This window comes from Homo sapiens, chromosome 2 (genome assembly GCF_000001405.40).
Source record: "Homo sapiens chromosome 2, GRCh38.p14 Primary Assembly".
NCBI classification, from domain to species: Eukaryota; Metazoa; Chordata; class Mammalia; order Primates; family Hominidae; genus Homo; species Homo sapiens.
The window spans coordinates 78,411,791-78,434,284 of record NC_000002.12 but is presented as its reverse complement, the minus strand read 5'-3'; the positions used below and the strand labels follow the sequence as shown (position 1 = coordinate 78,434,284).

The window sequence follows — 22,494 nt, the reverse complement described above, 5'->3', positions numbered from 1 at the left end:
TTATTCTAGTGATGCCAGTACCATACCAACAGTATTATTTTTTAAAGGTGGTTAATTGCATTTATTTTTTTTAAATCTCCTTGATATTTTTCTAAGTAACAAATGGCATTGTAATAAACTTCTGTCGACACACTTTCAACTAATGGAACTGTTTTTATAGCATTTTCTCACTCCATACTCATACATTCAGTCATCTCTTTTAGGTTTCTCTTCCTTCAGTTATTTTCTCTCCTACTAGTATTCAGGACTTCAAAAATTATGGTTTGAATAATCTGTTAGCAAGCTTAATCTCTTTTTCAGCTTTTGGAAATGTGCTTATTCTCATCTCACCTCTGCCTCCAAACCTCCCCGAATGTCCCATTCCTATTTCCATGTCACTTCATTCTCTTTGCTTTCAGGGATTTTTCCACACTTTTGTACTTTTTCTATCATATTTTGCACAGAGTTGAGTTGAAAAGAAGCAAAAGGACTTTGTGTTTTTTCTCAGAATGTTTTGTGACTTTTGACAGGAATTCAAGTGATGTTATTTGACCACTTTTTGTATTATAATTAAGTCACGTTATATAGTTACAGCCCAAATTATCTGATCCCAAAGTTGGATAAGAAAGAAAATAATGACACTTGCTGGGACCTTGACTCTATGATATACTGCATTTCCTGTCTTCAAAAATATTAACATAGAATCACATAGTCTATCTCCTGTTACTTGTTGTTTGTGCACATTTAGTTTTCTTCACTTAGGGCTGCAAGCCTTAATGATACATGATAGCAACATGCACACATATATTACCTTTCCTCCTAGGTTGCAAATTCTTGAGGTATTAGAACACACACTCTCCATATTTGCATATTATATAGTGCAAATAAAAAAATTTAATATTAAAAAATTCCAGTATAGATGACAGTTCAAATGGCTATGAACAGAATTGAAGCATTAAAATCAGCCTATTTAAATCTATATTCATGTGATCTGATCACATTAAGTTCTTAACAGAAGCTCCTCTAAACAAAGATATTTTCTGTGGTATACATAGAAAGAAGTAATTCTAAATCACACAGTTCTTATCCTACTAATGTCAGATTTTCTTCAACAATTTTGCTCTTCCCCCAGTAACCCCTGCCCCTCTGTTTTACCACCTCTGGTGCAGAAAGCAAGATGATTCTGTTTGTTTAACTTCATATAGACCAATATGCCTGACAATAGATGTAATGTTCATGATCCCTCTTGAGCTCCAAATTTACTGCTGCTATCTTTAGTTATTTATCCTTATAGACAAAGTTACAGAAGTTGTGATTTGCTTTCAGACATCATCTAAATGCATCTAATGTGCCCAATAGACACCTTTTTGTCCTCTTCCTGCTCTGGTCCTAGAACACAAAGCCTGGGACTTGCTGGTCCATTTCTCCCAGCTCTGTAACACTGTAATGTTTTCAATGACTCTTTTGCTCCTAACAACCCATCAGAGAAACTGGGGCTCACTTGTTTTTAGCTTGCTTATTTCACTATGTGTAAGGGAAAAATGTTGAATACCACCATAAGCTAAATTATTATGTCCAGATCTGGAAAATAAAAAGTTAAAATAGTCTCTTATTTATTTACTCAAAAAAATAGCTTGCCTAAAACATTTTATTTAAATGAAGGAGGAGTATAAACATAATTTGGTGTGATTATACTTCTCCATTTGGCAAAATAATCAGAAACAACTTTCATTAAGAAATGTTTCATATTCCTTTACTTATCAACCAAAATGAATAAATCAGAAATAATTTCAAATGTCTTTGAATACACATGCAAGCCTTGAAGAACTGAGTTACACACACACACGCACACACACACACAGACACATACATATACACATATTTTCTAATATGGCTCAAGGGCAGAAAATTTAGTCACAACACTAAAGGGCTAACAGTGAAAGAGCTAAAAAGATTCAACACCCTGGCATGCACAGAAAAGGCTTAGATTTCTCTTTTCCTATGTTCTTTATTATATAGTGGCTTCTATTTCTTAGAACTAATGGCCTGTATAACTGGAATAATTGTAAAAACTTCGGCCTTCCTTATAGATGAAGTTTTTCCCAGTGTGGACCTCTTGTCTTGTTAAAAAGAGACTTCTGGATCATATATTCCCTTCCCCAGACCAGTTCTCCAGAAGGAGGTCATTTAGGGGTTAAGGCCAAATAACTGTATTCATTAGTGGTCTTTCAGCAACATATTGCTCTCAGGAATATGTGGTAAAGGTAGTTTTCTATTGCTGTGTAATAAATTACTACAAATTTAGCAGCTGAAAATAGCGTGCATTTATAATCTGGAAGTTTCCAGGAATAATGAGTCTGGGCAGAAGTTATCTGGGTTTTCTGCTTACGGTCTCACAGGATGCAGTAAAAGAATTGACTGGGCTGCTTTTTTATATCAAGGCTTGACTGAGGAAGAATCCACTTCCATGCTTATTCAGGTTTTTTTCAGAATTCCTTTCCTTTTAACTATATGACTGAGGGCTCCAGCATTTTCCTGACTGGCTAAATACCACACTCAGATCCTAGGGGCTACCAAAGTTTCTAGAGGCTTCCAGCAGTTCCTTGTCACGAAGGACTTCTTAACGTGGTATTACTTCATTAAACCAGCAGAGATAATCTCTGTCTTCAGTCTGCTTAGATGGAGTCGTATAACATCGTGCAATCAAGCAAGTGATATCTAATAACCTTTGCTTTGTAATATAACTCAATCATGTGGCTGCCATTCCATCACCTTTGCCATGTGAGACTGGTTAGAAGCAAGCCATAGGCCCCACTCACCTGCAAGGGGAGGAATTGTACAGGGTGTGAATATGAGAACACTTAAGTGTTTGTCTGCCACCTCCTGGTTGGGTTGGCATCATCAATATTGCATCCTGATTGTCTCTCTTTCCATCAGAAGTATTCCTAACATTTGCTGTACATCATCAATTTGAGGTCAATGTATGCATAAAACATTATAATTTATGAGAGGGAGATGTCGAAAAGCAGGATAAAAAATTGACAAAATTACACATGGAGAGTAACATTTCTAAATTGGGCAAAATGATGTGGTTCAACTCAGATATTGGCAAGATGCTTCTTAGAGTAAAGACGTATCTGCATATCTAGTGCATTTTTTACCCTATCAGTAATCTATTTGGAAGGGAATTGGATTAGTTTTAGGGACCAGGGCAGCCTCAATTAGAGGATGCACAGTTTATGTGTGCAAGCATTTGAATTGATGGATGATATATTGTTTACTAATCAGGCTATCTGTTTTTTGTTCTTTTACATAATGACAGCTGAATGGCACCAAGTCTTCAATGTTATCATATATATTTATTATTTGAAATATAAATCCATACATGATATATTTGGGAAAATAATATTTTTAAGAAATAAACAGATAAAATTAATCTGAAAAATACTATGTATTGTTTCTATATTGAGAAGATGAGGAAAAAATGGAATTATCACAAAACTAAGCATCAAGGAAAAAGTTTTAAGACCTGTTTTTGGAACACTTTCTCTCAAAGAATTAGATTTGCCAAGAGGCAAGAGGAAAACCACAGTTAGCAAGTTAGAAAAAAAGAAGTCTTCAGAATTTTGTAGTGAACAAAAAGAAAAGCTCAGACTTTGAAAAAAGGACATCAGAAACTCAGGAAGATATAGGATCAACTTAAAAACAAATTTTGATCTTGTGGTCAAGACAAAAATTCTAGGCTAGAAAGAGAAAAGAGGATCCAACAATTCTTTTAACCTACATGTGGTAGAAGAAGAAAGGGACCAACTTGAGAAAGAGGTAAAATTTTTTAAACATAGATAAACTTTCATAAAGAAGGCGGATATACAGTATGTAGAATTGAAATGTAACAAAGTTTCTGCTACATAAAAAGACATATGCATGTTGATGCTGCTTTTAGTGAGAGAAAGTTTCTTCATGGCCTTGGATATTCAGGTACACAAGTGTGTAAGGAAGCACACATGGAATATGCTGCTTCTTACAGCTTTAAGATACACAACAATTGCATTCCCAGTTCAGTAATTTGTTGTGGTGAGTACCAGCTAGGAAATGTTGGAAATTAAATGTTAAAATTCTTCAGATATGCTGGATGTAAAGGCTGAGGGAATTGAGAGCCAAAGACAGCAGCGTTGCAAAAACAGAAGCAAATGGAAAAAAAAACCCCGCAAATTCCTGCTAATATTTTTAATGGTAAAATTAGCCAGGGGTGTCTATTATGAGAAATGCAATACTTGGGACGTTGAAGAGTAGATGGTTAGAAATACGAGTTATTCTGTTAAAGAAAGAGAGAAACAGAGGAAGAGAGAATTAATCTCTGGGCAGAAACAATACGTATTCAATCTTGGAAGTAAAAGAAAGGTAAAATGAAAGTAGACATGAAAAGGGAAATTAGGCAACTTTTATATTTAGGATCACACTAAGAAAAATGTTGCATACATTCAGGACCATCCTGTTATGGGACCTCTGGGGTGTCATTTTTCTGGCTGGAAATTTCTGTGGCTGTGATGCCTTTGCCTGAGTTCTTGTCCTGCATCCAGGAAGAATGAAGTACACAGACAAGTGAAGGGCGAAGAAGATGAAGAAGAGTTTTATTTAGTGTTTGAACAGCTCAGAGGAGACTCACAGTGGGTAGCTCCTCTCCATAGGCAAGTCTTCACATCGAGTGTTCAGCTACACTCAGTAGAGAGTAGGCCCTCTACTCTCAGCTGAGAGGATGCCCCGCATCAATACTAAGGAAACTGACCTCAGCATCACGTACTCCTACATTTTGTCAAAGGAAGGCAAGCTATACCAATAGTAAATTTCTCCCATTGGTATGAAAATATTAGCATTACATTTTAGATATTTCATGATAAATTACTTCAAATTGAGGGTTTTTGTTTGTTTCTTTTAAGAGAAGCGGTCTTAATGTGTTGCCCAAGCTGGTCTTGAACTCCAGGCTCAGTTTCCTGAGTAGCTAGGATTAGAGGCATGCACCACCACACCAGGCTCTGAGTTTTTAAATTCAGAAGAAAGTTGGGTACACAAGAGAAGCTGAACCTATTAAGATATTCTTCTTCTCCTTCCCTATCCCCTCTTATTTTCCTGGCCCCTCTCCTTATCTCTTCTTCTCATTCTCCTCATTTTTCTTCGTACATCTCATCTTTTCCTGGGACGTACAAATAAGTGATAGTCAATGTGTGTGATTGGCAGACACAATATAGGTCTAATAGCAACAAGTACTAAATTCTGACTTACATATTTTACTCAGAGAAGGGTATTTTGCTTATTTTTTAAACAACTGAAATAATGTTGTTTGGTTCTTGTATATTTCTAATGTAGTATTTGTAAACTAGATTGTGTAAATGTTTCATTTTCCAGCTTTACTGAGATATAACCTTAACTAAAAATTGCATATATTTAAGTCATATAGCATGTTTCAATGTATGTGTACATTGTAAAATGAATACCACAATGAAGCTAGTTGAAATACTCATTGTCTCACATAGTTACCTTCTGTGTGCATGTGTGGTGAGAATATTTAAGATCTATTCTCTTTGCAAATTTTGAGTATACGGTACCTTAAATACATGCTGTAAATTAAGTCTACAGAACTCATTCATTTTATAACTCAAAGCTTCTACCCTTTGGCCAATATCTCCTCATTTTCTTCACCTGCTAACCTTGGATAACCACCCGTCTACTCTCTGTTTCTATGAGTTTAACTTTTATATTCCACATAAAACTGAGACCATCCAGTATTTGTCTTTCTGTGTCTGGCTTATTTCACTTAACATAATGCCCTTCATGTTTGCCATTGCGATGCAAATGGCAAAATTTCCTTCTTTATAAAGGCTTTATCCATTCATCTGTTGATCAACACTTAGGTTGTTTTAATATATTTGCTATTATGAATAATGTTGCAGTGAACATGGAAGTGCAGCTCTCTCTTCGAGATAATGACTTTATTTCCTCTGGATATATCCCTAGAAATGGGATTGTTAAATTATATGGTAGTTTCATTTTTAATTTTTTTAGGAAACTCCATATTGTTTTTCATAATGGCTGTACCACTTAACAGTCCCACCAGAAATATAGAAGGGTTCTCATTTCTCCACATCCTCGTTAACACTTGTCTGTTGGCTTTTTGATAGTAGCAATCCTAACAGATGTGAGGTGATAGCTCGTTGTGGTTTTGATTTGAATCTACCTGATGATTAGCGATGTTGAGCACTCATACATATATCTATTGACCATTTGCGTGTTCTCTTTAGAAAAAAAAAATACTCAGGTACTTTACCCATTTTTAAATAGGGTTATTTGTTTGGTTTTGCTATAGAGTTGTATGAGTCTCTTATATATTTTGGATATGAACCTCTAATTGAATGTATGGTTTTCAAATGCTCTCTTCTATTCCATAGGTGGTGGTAGCATTTTGTGAACTGTTTCCTTTGCTGTGCAAAATCTTTAATATAGTCCCACTTGACAATTTTCCCTTTTATTTTCTATGCATTTGGTGTCATATCCCAATAGTCATCACCAAGATCAATGTTATGGAGATTTTCCCTTGTGTTTTCTTCTAGAAGTTGTATGCTTTTGCACCTCATGCTTCAGTCTTTAATCCATTTTGAGTGAATAGTTGGGTATGGTGTAAGATAAGGATCCAAAATCATTTTATTTGTGTGAACATGTGGGTACCTAGTGTTCCCAACATCATTTATTTAAAAGACTATCTTTTTTATTGTGTATTTTTGGCACCTTTGTGGAATATTATGACCTTTGACCTGAAAGCCCCCGCTTCGAGTTGCCCTGCCTTTCCAGACCGAACCAGTATGCGTCTTACACATGTTGATTCATGTCTCATGTCTCTCTATAATGTACAACCAAGCTGTACCTCGACCACCTTAGGCACGTGTCTCAGGATATGTCATGATGTGTCCTTAACCTTGTCATAATAATCTTTCTAAACTGATTGAGAGCTGTCTCAGATAATTTTAGTTCACAAGCCTTTTAATATGCTGTGGAATTTAATTTGTGAGTATTTTGTTGAGAAGGTTTGCATGTGTTCATCAGGGATATTGGCCTGTAATTTTCTTTTCTTGTAATTTTCTTGTCTGACTTTGGTATGAGGGTAATGCTGGCCTTGTACAATGGTTTGGAAGTGTTCCTTTCTCCTCATAGATTAATTGACTATGTTTCAAGTGATATTTCTTGTTATTCACAATAGTACATTTACAGCAATATAGATATTGGTATTAATGAAAGAGAACCACGATTTTTATAATGAATTCAATAAGAGCAAGTCTGAATAAATGTTTAATTCAAAATTCAAATCAATGGTGATTTTTCTAGTAGTATTGTAGAAGACTATGAAAAGTAGCATACTGTGTTATTAGAATATATTTACATATTTAAATAAGTCTAATAGTCAGAAACAGATATTATGGTCCCTGTGGGAAGAGAATTGCCAGATTTGCAAAACCAAAATAAAAAATATGTATTAGGCCTAATTCACAATTTAAATATTGTCATCTTTGAAAGATTAATTGTTGGTCCTCAGATACTTAGGAGTTTAGCTGAGGAAGCTGTTTTTTTTATATCCTTAATAAGCAGTTAACGGCCCACAACAGAAGATGGAAAATCTCCCATCAGTCTAATACTGTATGGGATTTTCCCTTATTGCTCTACTGTGTAGTTTTTTTAAGTGTGTTAATTGAGTTCCCTACTTCTCTATAGGGAATCTTAAGATATAAACACATACATAAACAGACAAACAAACAAAAACTAGACTGAATCTGCCAGTGTTTCCTTTAGTCCCTAGTAGGCCTTATTATTTTATGTTTGAATTGATTTCTGTGGTTATTTACTCCCTAGTTAATTATTAAATAGAACAAACAAATCTATATTCCCCATTTATGCCAACAACAGTAAAATATCATCACGTAGGTATTATTTTTTTCTCTCAACTCTTTGGGAAGAAAAGGTTTGCATGAACATATTTATGCCTATTGCATCTTCTAAACATCTTGACCTCTTTTCTTGTAAAATAACTAATTGAAATTAATCAAATTAATTATGTATTTTTCTCTTACTCTTTATATTTGATATATTTGGAATTGATATGTTTGGATAGAAACTGAAAAAAACATATTCCACAGGACCTAATTAGTTTTCAATATTGTACTCAGATTTGCATGATAAAAAAAATGATGAGTTCATGTCCTTTGTAGGGACATGGATGAAGCTGGAAACCATCATTCTCAGCAAACTATTGCAAGGACAAAAAACCAAACGCTGCATGTTCTCACTTATAGGTGGGAATTGAACAATGAGAACACACGGACACAGGAAGGGGAACATCACACACCGGGGCCTGTTGTGGGGTGGGGGGAGGGGGGAGGGATAGCATTAGGAGATATACCTAATGTTAAATGACGAGTTAATGGGTGCAGCACACCAACATGGCACATGTATACATATGTAACTAACCTGCACATTGTGCACATGTACCCTAAAACTTAAAGTATAATAAAAAATGATAAAAAAAAATTCAAAAAGAAAAATCAGTATACAAAGAAAGGTTTGAGGCATTCAAATAAACAAAATCAATCTGAGGAAATAGAGATATTATATTCCATTGTGAAACTGATACACTGTTGGAAAGAGGTCCAAACAGCTGGATAATAATCTTAAAAAGGTATAATTTATATTTGTTAATGAGATTTGATATGGCATGCCATCTTTGACATGGGAATAATTTGAGATCAGAGAATGTTGTCTTATGAGCTGAAATACATGACTAGGATATAACAGAGAGGGAAAATAGCACGTTGTATCATACAGAAATCCACATCAGTGTGTTGTCAGATGTTAGCCAATACTAGTGTTTCTCATTTCATCTCCATTATCATATGTTTTATTTTGGGGTAGTGACATCTTGTGAGTAAGTGAGTATGTTTTATTAGAGGACAAGCAATCTTACATCCTCAATTATTTACTTAAATTGTTTATTAAGCATTGGTATTAAGAAATACCTTTAAGGATATGTGTCCACAAACAATTAATATTTTACTACCTTCCTATGAGCATCCTTAACTTGCCATATATTTTGCTGGGAGATGAAGCAAAAGTAATGGTCATAACATACAAAGTATCTGTTCTTGTGGGGCTTACATCTCAGAGAAACAGATAATGAATAAACAAATAAATATATACTATTTATATCATTTTGGTAGATTTAATAATGCCCCCTCAAAGATATTTTTATCCTAATCCCTGGAAACTGTGACTATGCTGCTTTACATGGTTATAGGGACTTCTCAGCTGTGATTAAATTAGAGATTTTGATAAGGAAATCATATCTTTAATTATCTAAGTAGGCCCAATATAATCACAAGAATCCCTATAAGAGGCAGTAAATAAGGTAGGATACAGAGAAGCAGAAAGAAGCAGAGTCCGAGAGGGATGATATGCCACTGGCTTTGACAACGGAGAAACTAACCATGAGGCAAGGAACAGCAGCCTCTAGGAACAATGTAGCTCTAAGTAAGGAAATGATTCTCCCTTAGAGTCTCCAAAAGAAACACAGGTTTGCTGATTTGGTTGTAGTCCAGAGAACTTAATTTCAGACTTCTGACTCCCAGAACCATAAGAAAATAAATGTGTGTTAAACCGCCGCATTTGTGGTAATTTGTTACAATCAGATTTAAATGATATTAAGAAAAAATTAGACATGGTACAGAAATAGAAAAGTTAGCCATTTTAAATAACAGGAGCAAGCAAGAAAGAACTTTCTGATAACATGTCATTTGTGTAGACGCATAAATGAAGTGAAGAAGTGAAACACATAGCTACAACTATGTTCCATGACAAGATAGTGCAACGTCCCTGAAGCCTGGTTGGTTGTATTCTAGGAATATGCACAGTACCATTGTGGCTAGAGTACAGCAGCCTCGAGGAAACAGAAAGGAGATATAGAAGAGAAGGGAGGGAAGCCAGAGCATTCAGGAACCCATGGATCATATTGGGAACTTCGCTTTTTTTGTATGTGTATGGGATGAGAAAATGCTGATATGTTTTCACAGAAGCCATGATATGTAACAAGATTTCCTTAGGTGCTCTGTGAAGAAGAAACTATAGGATCCAAGAAGCCTGCCTGGTGCCATTGTCTAGACAGGAATTAGATAAACATGGTTTTTATCCATATGAAAGCACTTTTATTTGTGTTTTTTAATATACTCTGATTTAACAAAGCCAATGTAAATCCTTCATTAATAAAAACAACATTTAATTCAATACATGTATTACAGTACAAAATCCATTGGGTTTTCATTTGTTCATTATCTACAAATGGATAAAATCTGGTATAGACATAAAATAGAATATTATTCACACTTAAAAAAGAAGAAAATTATACCATGTCTTAGTCCATTTGTGCTGCTATAACAAAAGTACCACAGACTAGGTGCCTTATAAACGACAGGAATTCATTTAACATAGTTCTGGAGGCAGAGAAATTCAAGATCAAGGTGCCAGCAGATTCACTGTCACTTCCTGGTTCACACATGACCATCTTCTCACTGAGTTCTCACATAGCAGAAGAAACAAGGGAGTGCTCTGGAGTTTTTAAAATAAGAACATTAATTCCATTCTTGAGGATTCCACCTTTTTTTTTTTGTATAAGACAGACTTTAATTTTATTTAAGAAATTCCACTTGTTACTTTTGGTGCTAAAATGCTATAGAGGATATTAATGTGCTTTGACATATTATAAAAATGGTTTTTTTGCATGGAGGTTATTTGTCTATTGTCTTTCTTAAGGCTTTTCTGAGAAATAAATGGGGAAACACCGTATCTTTCCCCAGATTTGCTAATTAACCATGTAAGCATTAAAACATTCTTTGTGTTACAATAGTTCTATAGATAGATATATGCTTTCTTTTTTTTTTTTTTTTTTACGTACAGTTTTTTCTTTCTTTTTTTTGCAATCTATGGTTTTTTTTTATTATTATACTTTAAGTTTTAGGGTACATGTGCACAACGTGCAGGTTAGTTACATATGTATACATGTGACATGCTGGTGCGCTGCACCCACTAACTCGTCATTTAGCATTAGGTATATCTCCCAATGCTATCCCTCCCCCCTCCCCCTACCCCACAACAGTCCCCAGGGTGTGATGTTCCCCTTCCTGTGTCCATGTGTTCTCATTGTTCAATTCCCACTTATGAGTGAGAATATGCGGTGTTTGGTTTTTTGTTCTTACGATAGTTTACTGAGAATGATGATTTCCAATTTCATCCATGTCCCTACAAAGGGCATGAACTCATCATTTTTTATGGCTGCATAGTATTCCATGGTGTATATGTGCCACATTTTCTTAATCCAGTCTATCATTGTTGGACATTTGGGTTGGTTCCAAGTCTTTGCTATTGTGAATAGTGCCGCAATAAACATACGTGTGCATGTGTCTTTATAGCAGCATGATTTATAGTCCTTTGGGTATATACCCAGTAATGGTATGGCTGGGTCAAATGGTATTTCTAGTTCTAGATCCCTGAGGAATCGCCACACTGACTTCCACAATGGTTGAACTAGTTTACAGTCCCACCAACAGTGTAAAAGTGTTCCTATTGAAGAAGATTTTCAATATATGAATTTTAGGGGGACATAAACTTTCAGCCTGTAGCAGGCAATGTAAAACGACATGGATAAAACTTGAAGAAATTATGCTAAGTGAAAAATGCCAGGTATTGCAGCACAAATACTGCATCATTTTGCTCATGTGAAGTATTTAAAATAATCAAACTCATAGAAGCAGAGAATGGAATGGTGCTTACCAGAGGTCAGGAGGGAAAGTTTTCATCCAGTGGATATAATGTTTCATTGATGGAAGATAAATAAGTACTAAAAATCTGCTGTATATCATCGTGTCTATAATTAAAAGCACTGTATTATGCATTTTAAAAATTTGTCAAGAGGGTGGATCTTGTGTTAAATCTTCTTGACAATTTCTTTAAAGTAAAACTCTGTTGGCATATTTTATAGTGTTGTGTTTGAAAGCATATTTCCGACAGAACAGAAACTTCATCAACATAGTAGCTTTAATGAAAGACTTGATACATAAAAATAGTCAACAATTAAATCTAACATAAAACATCTACTCCTCAGGTACACTAATCATATTTATGTGTACTGAAATATTTTCTGCTTTTAAAAAAGAATTAAAAAGACACAAAAAGCTATTATTAAAATATTTACTTTATTAAAATATTAGAATGACGTATTATTTTCAAAATTACATTTTATTTTCCCTCCATTGATTTATTTTGAAAATAGTCCTGTAATCTGAGATGAATCTATGATAAAAATATTTTGCCATATCCTACATATACCTCTTTAAAATTTCTTTTAAAATGACCACACACACACATATACACACAGACATACAGTAAGAGTTATAGTAGTAATTAGTATCAGCAATATGTTTAATCTACATGGAATGATGGAAGGAGCTTTGGGAAATATTTACAAGATTAGTGCAATCAAGTATATATTTGAAACATCAAGCTGAAGTAGTGTGGAGTAGTCCCGGGGGGTAAAGGGAAGACAACAACTGGAAGAGACCCATGCATTTTTGCCAAAGGAAAACCTGCCATAAACATCAAGATTGAATAGCAGGTTTAGAAATGAAGGTGATTTGTACTACAATTGGAGAGGCATAAACCTTTAACATGGCCTGGTGGAAGTGGTGTTTAGAAAGCTTCTCACACAGTCTCAATTTCTTCCCCTCCCTTCCATATTATACTCATAGAAAAGAATTCCCTGTGTTCAGATTATACTTAAAGAGTTAGAATTTATACTCTGAAACCTGATGGGCGCAGTGTTTACATAAATTATTTGAAATTCTTCTGTATAGGAAATTTGTTTATCTTCCTCCGTTTATTTGCATAGTCAATCATGCATTTATATCAGTATAAACTCTTGGATACTTATTTTATATTTTGGTCAAGGCTTCTGTAACCAATACCTAAAAATGTGAAAGTGGCTTTAAACTGGGTAATAGGTAAAGGCTTGAGAATACTGAGGGCAGGATCACTGCCCCGTTGGTTCTGGAAGGAGAACACCGAACCAAGGATTATTCTCAAGACTTGAAATCTAATGAAACTTGCTTTGCTAAGTTTTGAACTTGCTTAGAACCTATCACCCTTTTCTTGCATCTAATTTATCCCTTTTAGGATAAGAATGTCTATCCTATGCCTGTTCCACAGTTGTATTTTAAAAGCATACTACTTTTCTGATGTCACAGGTTCACAGCTGTAGAGGAATTTTATCTCAGAATGAATAGTACCTTGAGTATCACACACATCTGATTTAGATGACATTTAAATTTTGGAATTTTGGCTTGAGAGTTGATGCTGATATGAGTTGAGTCTTTGGGGCTGTTGGGATGGAAATAATGTATTTTTCATGTAAGAATATGAATTTTGAGGGCCAGGACTACAGTTCACTATGGACTGAACTGTGTCCCTCCAAATTTCACATGCTGAAGCTATAACACCCAATGTGGTTGTTTTTGGAAATAGGGCCTTCAGGAAATAATTAAGGTTAAATGAGGTCATAAATATGGAGAATTAATCTGATAGTATTTGTGGCCTTATATTAGTACTATATGTGGCTTTATATAGGTTGGTGTAAAAGTAATTACGGTTTTTGCCATTAAAAGTAATGACAAAATCCTCAATAACTTTTGCACCAACCAACCTAATAAGCAAAAGTTTTCTCTCACCCTCTGTCTGCCATGTGAGGACACAGGGAGAAGTCATCCATCTGCAAACTGGGCACAGACAAATCTCCAGTAACCAAACCTTGCTGGGCCTTCATTGTGGACTTTCCAGACTCCAAATTGTGAGAAAATGTATCTTTATTGTTCAAGCCATTCAGTCTATTTTGTTATGGCAGCCCTAGCTGACTAATACAGGTTTATAACCCAACACAAAATAATGTATTTTATGCTCAAATTATTCTAGCTTTGGCCATTGGGAGCTCTTTCAGGTGACTTCAGTATCCTTTTTAAATAGCCTCATTACTGTGTGAGGTAAGGGTGTATGCGGTTTGTGTGTGTGTGTGTGTGTGTGTGTGTGTCTGTGTAACCACATGCTAAACATAACCTTACTTTCTGGCATTATAAGATGCTTCAGGCTCGTAGTATATATTTTATGTTCTGCCAAGTCTTAGAATAATTCAGTCACTTCTGCGAGAAGCCTTGGTTCTTTGTATTGAATATTAGTATTAGAAATAAATATTTCCTTAATAATAATACGTTCTTTGCTCCTATGCTATGTTTTATTCTAGGCCCTATCAGCTGATAGAGCAAAAAAAAAATGTACTTACAGCCTATGTATACTCACCTCAACATGAGTTCATAGTGATGTCACCAACTGTAGTTAATTACCGTATGTATCATTCTAACCTCTTCCCCTTATATGCAACTTCCCACTTCAGTGGTGAAAAAAAAATGGTTCTTACCATTCACCATACATTACTTAATTGTTAATTCAAGAACACACATATGGCAGTAAAAGAATTGATAATCTATACATCCATGGGGAACAACTTTATTAACTAGGATATAGTACTTATATACAGTTTATTTTGCTTGAGTCTTACATACTCCTTTCATATCAAAAACAGAATTGTATACCACAACCAAGTGGGGTTTATTCCAAGTACACAAGAATAGGATAGACAATTTTAAAGACCTTTACATATTCTTGTTTAAACTGAAAATCTCTCATATACTATTAATTTTTATGATGTTGAGAATATTTACTATGTCTATCAGCCATTTGTACATAGTGTGTGTGTGTGTGTGTTTGTATTTAAAAGAAAAATTGCTAGTCAATGGAAAGATGATAACATTTGCATATATGTTATTGATAAAGGATATGTAACCAAACTAAACACAGTAAGTCAGTAAGAAAAAGACAAATAATCCAATAAAAAAGATGTTTTTGATATAATTTATTTCTCCACTGTTCAGATTTATTGACCACATATACAAAATATCACCTCATGCCTGGTGCTGTGTCTAATTAATGCCTGTAATCCCAACACTTTGTGGGATGAAGGTGAGATGATTGCTTGAGACCAGGTGTAAAGACCAGCCTGGGCAACATAGCAAGATTTTGTCTCTACAAAAAAAACAAAAACAAAAACAAAAACAATAAAACACTTAAAAAAAAAAAACTAGCCAGTGTGGTGATGTATGCCTGTGGTCCCAGCTACTTGAGAAGCTGAGACAGGAGAATGACTTGATCTCAGGAGTTCAAGACTCCTTGAACTCCTGAGATCATACAGCGAGCTATGATCATGCCACTGCTCTCCAGCCTGGACAACAGAGTTAGACCCCGTCACTAAAAAATAATAATAATAATAAACAAGTAAATAATCTCATTAATCTATTCACTTATCTTATTCTGTACTTTTATTATCTAATACAAAATGTTGTCATCTTTTACATGAACACTATTAATTGCCTCTAAATTGTTTTCTTTCTTCCAAGCTGGATCCTCAAATTTCTATCCTCTGCAGTTAGCTGAGTGATTTTAAAAGCACAAACATAATCACATCTATGCTTAAAACTCATTAGTAGCTTCCAATTGCACATAAGATAATATTCACAATTCATATTACAGTCTCCAAAGCTTAATATGTTGTTACTCACCACTTCTTACACCATCTCCTACTCACATATACGCTTCATCAGTTCTCACGTTTGTGTTGTTTCTCACATACACTGACTAGTATGCCTGACTTACGTGATTTTCTCAGCCTGAAATTATTTTTGCATAGTGAGCTCTTCCCTGTCATTGAGTTTTCAACTTAAGTGTCATTGACTAAGAAAACCCTTTCCTTATCATCTAATTTAACATAATCTTCTATGTCAATTCAAATGTTTATAGCTATATGTAAGAGAACCTCTTATTCAAGTGGCTTACATCATAAGAATAATATGTAATTCACTTGATAGGAAGCCCTGAGTTGGGGCTAGCTCTAGTACAATTGCTAACGTGACTCTGTCATCAGAGACTCCAATTTATCCAGTTTATTGCCAAATCATTTTTATGGCATTCAGCCCAGGAAGCATTACAGAGAAGGCACAATAACAGCTGGACAGGCAATTCGTGATGCCAGCCAATTGCAATCCTTGCTCATAACATACATTTTTTGATAATCCCTTATTCTATTTCTCAGCCTAGAATTTATTACTATTTGATATTTTCTTATTTATTTTTTTAGAAAGGGAATTATATAATGATAAAAGTTATAGATTCTGGAGTTTCCTTGCTTACCTTGAATGTCTGACTTGACTTTTTCCTGTTTGACCAATGTATCTAATCTCTGTGCCTTAGTTTTCATAGTAAAATAGGAATGATTATATTGAGTATCCATATTAAAATACTGTTGTAAGGACTGAGTGAATTAATTAGGTAAAACACTTAGAGTAGCACCTGGAATATATTAAGAGCTGTGGCAGGGTCTACTGTATATTATTACATATAATTTATTGCTTTTTTGGTCTCCCCCTCCACAGCCACACACACACACATGCCAGAGAATAAGTTATAACAGAGCAAGATTTATGTGATGTCGTGCAGAAAACAGTTAACACAGCAGACCTGAGATTGCTATCCTTATGAAGTCTGCTTACAAAGTAGGCTCTTGTCTGGTATTTGGAAACTTGGATTTCAGATTGGTTCCCACAGTTCCATAACTGATAAGAATGATTCACTCAGTCTAGACTGTGCAAGCAATATGGTTTATGCTAACTACTTGCTTTCCTTCTGGGACTCTGAAATGCTGTATGTGTTAGGCAGAGTGTGCTTTTGTGAAGCGCATGCAATAAAAACCCTGCCTTTAATGAGCTTCCCTGATAGACAATATTTCTCATGTGTTGTCACAAGTCTGCTGTAGAAATTGTGTTCTGTGTGACTCCACTATTAGAGGCTGTACACCTTGTCTTTTCTAGACTCTTCATTATGCACCTATTCCCTTTGCTGGATTGTCTTTGTTTCTTTTTGCTGCAATAAATCATAGCCATGTGTTCAACTGTATACTGAATATTATGAGCCTTCCTAGTAAATCACCAAACCTGAGAGTGTTCTTGGGGGGCCCTGACACAGACTTGTTTACCAAAATCTAAAACAGTGACTGAGTCATAGTATTAGGTTGGTGCAAAAGTAACTGGTTTTGCATTACTTTCAATAGCAAAACCCGCAATTACTTCTGCACCAACCTGATAGATTCTCAGTGAAAGTCAAATACATAGATGAAATAATAAATGGATAACTATAGCTCTATATGGTCACACACATTTGGACAAACAACAGCATCAACCTTTGGCACAGAGAATAGGTTGTTTCCACTGAAGGGACGGTGCTCTTTGATGGTTGTTTACTTACCACCATTTATCATAAATGACTCAAATGTCAGAATGCTAGGCCATGAGGAAATTGTGGGGAGGGACAAATCATGATTCTACAAACAATTTATTATGTCCACCAGCTGTTTTGGTCAATGTCTTAAGCATCAGCTCAAAATTAGTGTGGAATATAATTGCTGGAATGCTGTAATAAAAGGCTACTGATAAAGATATGATAAGCATTATGGTTAAATCTGATCTTTAATTCTACCCCAGGTGACTATCATGGGGTAAGTGAGACAAGTGAGATGTGTAAGCTTAGGTCATTTTAAATCAATGGAGCTAAGGAAGAGGGAAAAAACTAAGCAGTGATTCTGGAAGATACAATGGACCACTGTCCCTGTTCCATGTGTGAGCTCAGCAGTTTCTCATTCTCTTTCCACTTTGAAAAAAATTAAACTGTTAAATTAGTATGTTATTTATTTACTTTTTAGGCTGGATTTGAATACATTTAAGGGTAGCCTACACAATACTGTTGTTGCTTTTTGCTTACTATTTCTTTTCTCTAATATAATGTTTGGCAGATAGTAATTGCTCAATAGAGGGAAGTTTAGAATCATGGCTACCGGGGGTGTCCAATCTTTTGGTTTCCCTGGGCCATACTGAAAGAAGAATTGTCTCGGGCCACAAATAAAAAATGCACTAACACTAACAATAGCTGATGAGCTAAAAAACATTGCAAAAAATCCCATAATGTTCACGAATTTGTGTTGAGCCTCATTCAAAGCCATCCTGGGCTGCATGCAGCCCACAAGCCATGGGTTGAATAAGCTTGATGTCTACCATCTAGTAGGTAAATTCTCTTGGAATAGATTTCCCTTCTAGTCTTAGCACATTTAGGCAGTATTGGACAAGTAATTTGTACTGAGATTTTCTTTACTTATCTGTAAATTGTAATTACATTTAGTTTTCTGTGTCTGTGGGTTCTGCATCTGTGAATACAGAAGCCAACTGTGGGACTTGAGCATCTGTGGATTGTGGTAGTTGTGGAGGAGACGGCAGTCCTGGAACCAGTCCCCACCAGACACCGAGAGATGACTGTAATTATAGAACATTTGTAAGAGTTAAATTGAATACTATAACTTAGAAAATATAAGCACTTTAGAAAGGCTAGATATTCTTATTATTATCTAAGAAATTAGTAAGAAATTAAAGAGCAATGTTTTGTCAGATTATGTAAGACCTTGAATGTTAGCATTTATTTATATGACAGCAATAAAATTTTCAGCAGAAACGTGGCATAGTTATTGTTCTGATTTTATTTATTTATTTTTATAGCCAAATCTTATTACTGCAAAGATGATCTAGAAAAAGCTTACGAGTTTATTGTGAACATTCAGTTGATAAGAAATTAGCATTAATGATGATTACAAGAGTGGATCCTGATCTGTTTAAAAATACATTATATGTATTGAGACATCATTATATATGACAGCAACATGCATAAGTATTATTTGTCAATTAAGAAAAATAAAATTTTTAAAAAGAATGGAAATACAAAGAAAATCATGTGTAGACCACTTAAAGAATTTATCTATATTTTGATTCCTCTTCATTTAACCTTACATTTTCAACTAAATAATATCCTGCTTATTAATTTACACTACATATTGCCTGGTATAATTTTTTTTTATAAATTTAAAAATTGGAAAAATTTCTTCCATTATATTTCAAGGTTTCTGATAATAACTATTTAGGAGTATACAATTTGTTTTTTAAATTTAGTTTTATTTTATTTTAGATTCAGAGGGTATATGTGAATATTTGTTACATAGGTATATTGTGTAATGCGGATGGGTTTCAAATGAACCCATCACTCAAACAATGAACACAATATCCAATACATAGCTTTAAAAACCTTGCTTCCTTCCCATGTTCCCCCCTTTTGGAGTTCCTGTGTCTATTATTTCTATCTTTATGTCCATGTGTAACCATTGTTTACCTTCCACCTAGAAGTAAAACATGTGGCATTTGACTTTCTGTTTCTGAGCTATTTATCTCATAATAATGGCCTCCAGATCCATCTATGTTGCTGCAAAAGACATGATTTCATTCTTTTTGATGGCTGCATAGTATTCCACTGTGTATATATACTACGTTTTCTTTATTCAGTCAATAGTTGATGGACACTTATGTTTGTTCCATGACCTTGCTATTGTGAATAGTGATGCAATAAACATATAAGTGCAGGTGGCTTTTTGATAAAACAATTTATTTTCCTTTGGGTAGATGTCCAGTAGCAGTATTGCTGGGTTGAATAGCAGTTCTATTTTTAGTTATTTGAGAAATCTCCATACTGTTTTCCATAGGAGTTGAACTAATTTACATTCTCACCAACAGTATATAAATACATTTGTTTCTTTAAGCAGCCCACAGCTTTTTAGGTGGGTTTTTTTAATACAGTCTACATTTAACGAATAATTTTTGATAGAAAAAAATCAATTGACAAATTAATGAGTCATTGATTATTTTTAATCCCAGGAAATCAACAGATGACAACCAAATCCTAACAACCCTTCAGAAGTTAAAGCTACATTACTGTGAAGAAAGTCTAGTGTCTTGGTTTTTAAAAGTTTTAATTTTTTTTTAATGGCAATAAGTTTTGAGAAAAAAATGTGCTCAATGATTTCTTAAAGGTATTATTTTTAGGTCATTTGAATTTAATAGTTTATAGGTAATGAAATTTCACTTTTTATTTCTGCATGTTCAACTGTTTGAGGAAAGAAGGCTGAAAGTCAAATATAGTACCATTTTCTTTCACTTAATCCAAAAGGCCTCTGAAAAGTAATAAGATTTATTCTGTAAATTACTTTATAATTGTTCTTTAACCACACTATGATATTTGATAATGTCAGAATGATTTTGCTTTAGGGAATGTGATTTTAGCCCCTGAAGAAAATTAATTACTCTCCCTAAATAAACAGCATTATATATATTTTATGTGAACTTAGGGAATGTTTTTAAGGTTAATTAATCTGTCTCTGACAATTGCAGAAAAATTTTAGGAAAAAATTACTTATGCATTCAGGTTAGTTTGCTTATGCTAATACACTAACACACAAGAAAAATATCACATTCATTCAATCATATTTGAAGAAAATTACTTCCATTTACTCTGAAATCTAAGATATAACTCTATTGTGTAATCCAGTTCCCAGTGTGGTTTCTTTAAAACCTTGTGCTAAAAATTGTGCTAATCAATTTACCAAATGCTTCATTTACTCTAAAAAATAATATAAGTGTTGTTTTCTTTCTTGATATTTCATCCCTTAATGATCTTTTGTATATTATGCTAAGCTCACCAAGGCTTTGGAGAGAGATATATGGAGATATATATATATATATAAAAATAGAGTCACAGATTACAAATCCATAGGAAAAGTTCAGGAAGAATTACATCCATCTGTTCATTGTGCTTATCCTTTGGAAAGAGCAATGAGATGCAGGGGGAAGTAAGGAGAATCTACATGAGCTTTTAAAAATATTATTTTTTTCATATTATTTATTTCTCATTACTTTTCACATTGTTCTAACTAATTTGAGAATTCATACACATATTTTACATTTATTATTTATATATGTTTTTAGAAGAATAAGAAAATCTCTTCTTCCATCACTCCTTTAGAAAATGTTTGTGGCAGGGAGTGGGACATCCGGCTTCAGAGCAGGAACTTTCATTGCACCAGTGATGAAAAAGAGAATGAAATGTGGGTGACGTTGAGAAAGGCAAGAAGATTTTTGTTCAGAAGTGTGCCCAGTGCCTAAAAGGGAGGCAAGCACAAGACTGGGCCTAACCTCCATGGTCTCTTTGGGCTGAAGACTGGTCAGGCCATTGGATTCTCTTACAAAGATGCCAGTAAGAACAAAGAGATCACCTGGGGAGAGGATACAGTGATGGAGCATTTGCAGAATCCCAAGAACTACATCCCTGGAACAAAAATGATCTTTGCTGGCATTCAGAAGAAGGCAGAAAGGGCAGACTTGATAGCTTATCTCAAAAAAAGCTACTCATGAGTAATAATTGGCCACTGCCTTATTTATTACAAAACAGAAATGTCTCATGACTTTTCTATGTGTACCATACTTTAATAGATCTCATACACCAGAATTCAGATCATGAATGACTGACAGAATATTTTACTGGGCAATCCTGATTTAAAACTAAGACTGGCTTGTGGTTAAATGAATGTGTTCAGTTTTTGAATTTTAATAGTAATTCCAATTCAGTAAATGCTATCACTGTTTACCCCTTCTAAAGATATGATTAGACTTCACTGGTAATGTTCAACTTTTCACAAAGATGGTGACTGCCATCTTAAAACTTACTGGATATTGGTTTATATTTAGATTTCTATAACTGGTTATGTGAATATATTTAAATACTCGGGAAATTCCTTCACTGTCTCAGAACCAAGCAAGATTCATCTGTGTTTTGTGTTCATTTGCCTCTTAAAGGCAAGGGTTGAAGATAAATAAGGTAGCAACGTCTACTTTATATTTTTGGCCTTAACTATGCCAATCTAATTAGAATTCTCTGCATTTAAACTGGTTCTTTTTACTTACTGAAGGGCATTTTAGTGTGGTTTATGTGTAATATCAAAGATTATTTAACATTTCTCACATTTTATAGATGATCTATAAGGTCACATGCTTTTAATATAGTAGCAAGTTAAACTTCACTCTTGAATTCTTTACAATCTAAGTCAAACTAAGTTATAATTTAAGATTGTCTTTAAACAGCCATTCAGATACATAAAACTGTGGAACTGCTCTGTATTTGTGATTGTGGATAGTGCTTTTGCCAACTTAAAAGAATTAAAGTAGAGGAGATATACATAAATTTTAAAATTATGTGTGATCATAAGACTTAAGATAATTAAAAAGAAATTCACAGATCATTACAAAAACATGTTCATGGCAAAGAAAAGACATATTCTAAGTAGATTAATAATTACAGATGTGTCAAATATACAGTTCTAGGATTTATGATGTAGTCATTAAGTTCATCAAA

The 22,494-nt window shown here is 34.3% G+C and overlaps 1 long non-coding RNA gene and 1 pseudogene across 1 annotated transcript in view; both read left to right on the top strand.

Annotated features, from left to right (window-relative positions):
* The window catches only part of LOC124906027 (uncharacterized), a 126,610-nt gene extending 107,606 nt beyond the window's left edge, over nucleotides 1-19,004 (top strand). Inside the window, exon 3 of the long non-coding RNA XR_007087117.1 lies at nucleotides 18,428-19,004. This is a non-coding gene — a long non-coding RNA (uncharacterized LOC124906027). The remainder of the gene's footprint in view (nucleotides 1-18,427) is intronic.
* Nucleotides 21,123-21,699, top strand: CYCSP6 (CYCS pseudogene 6; annotated as a pseudogene).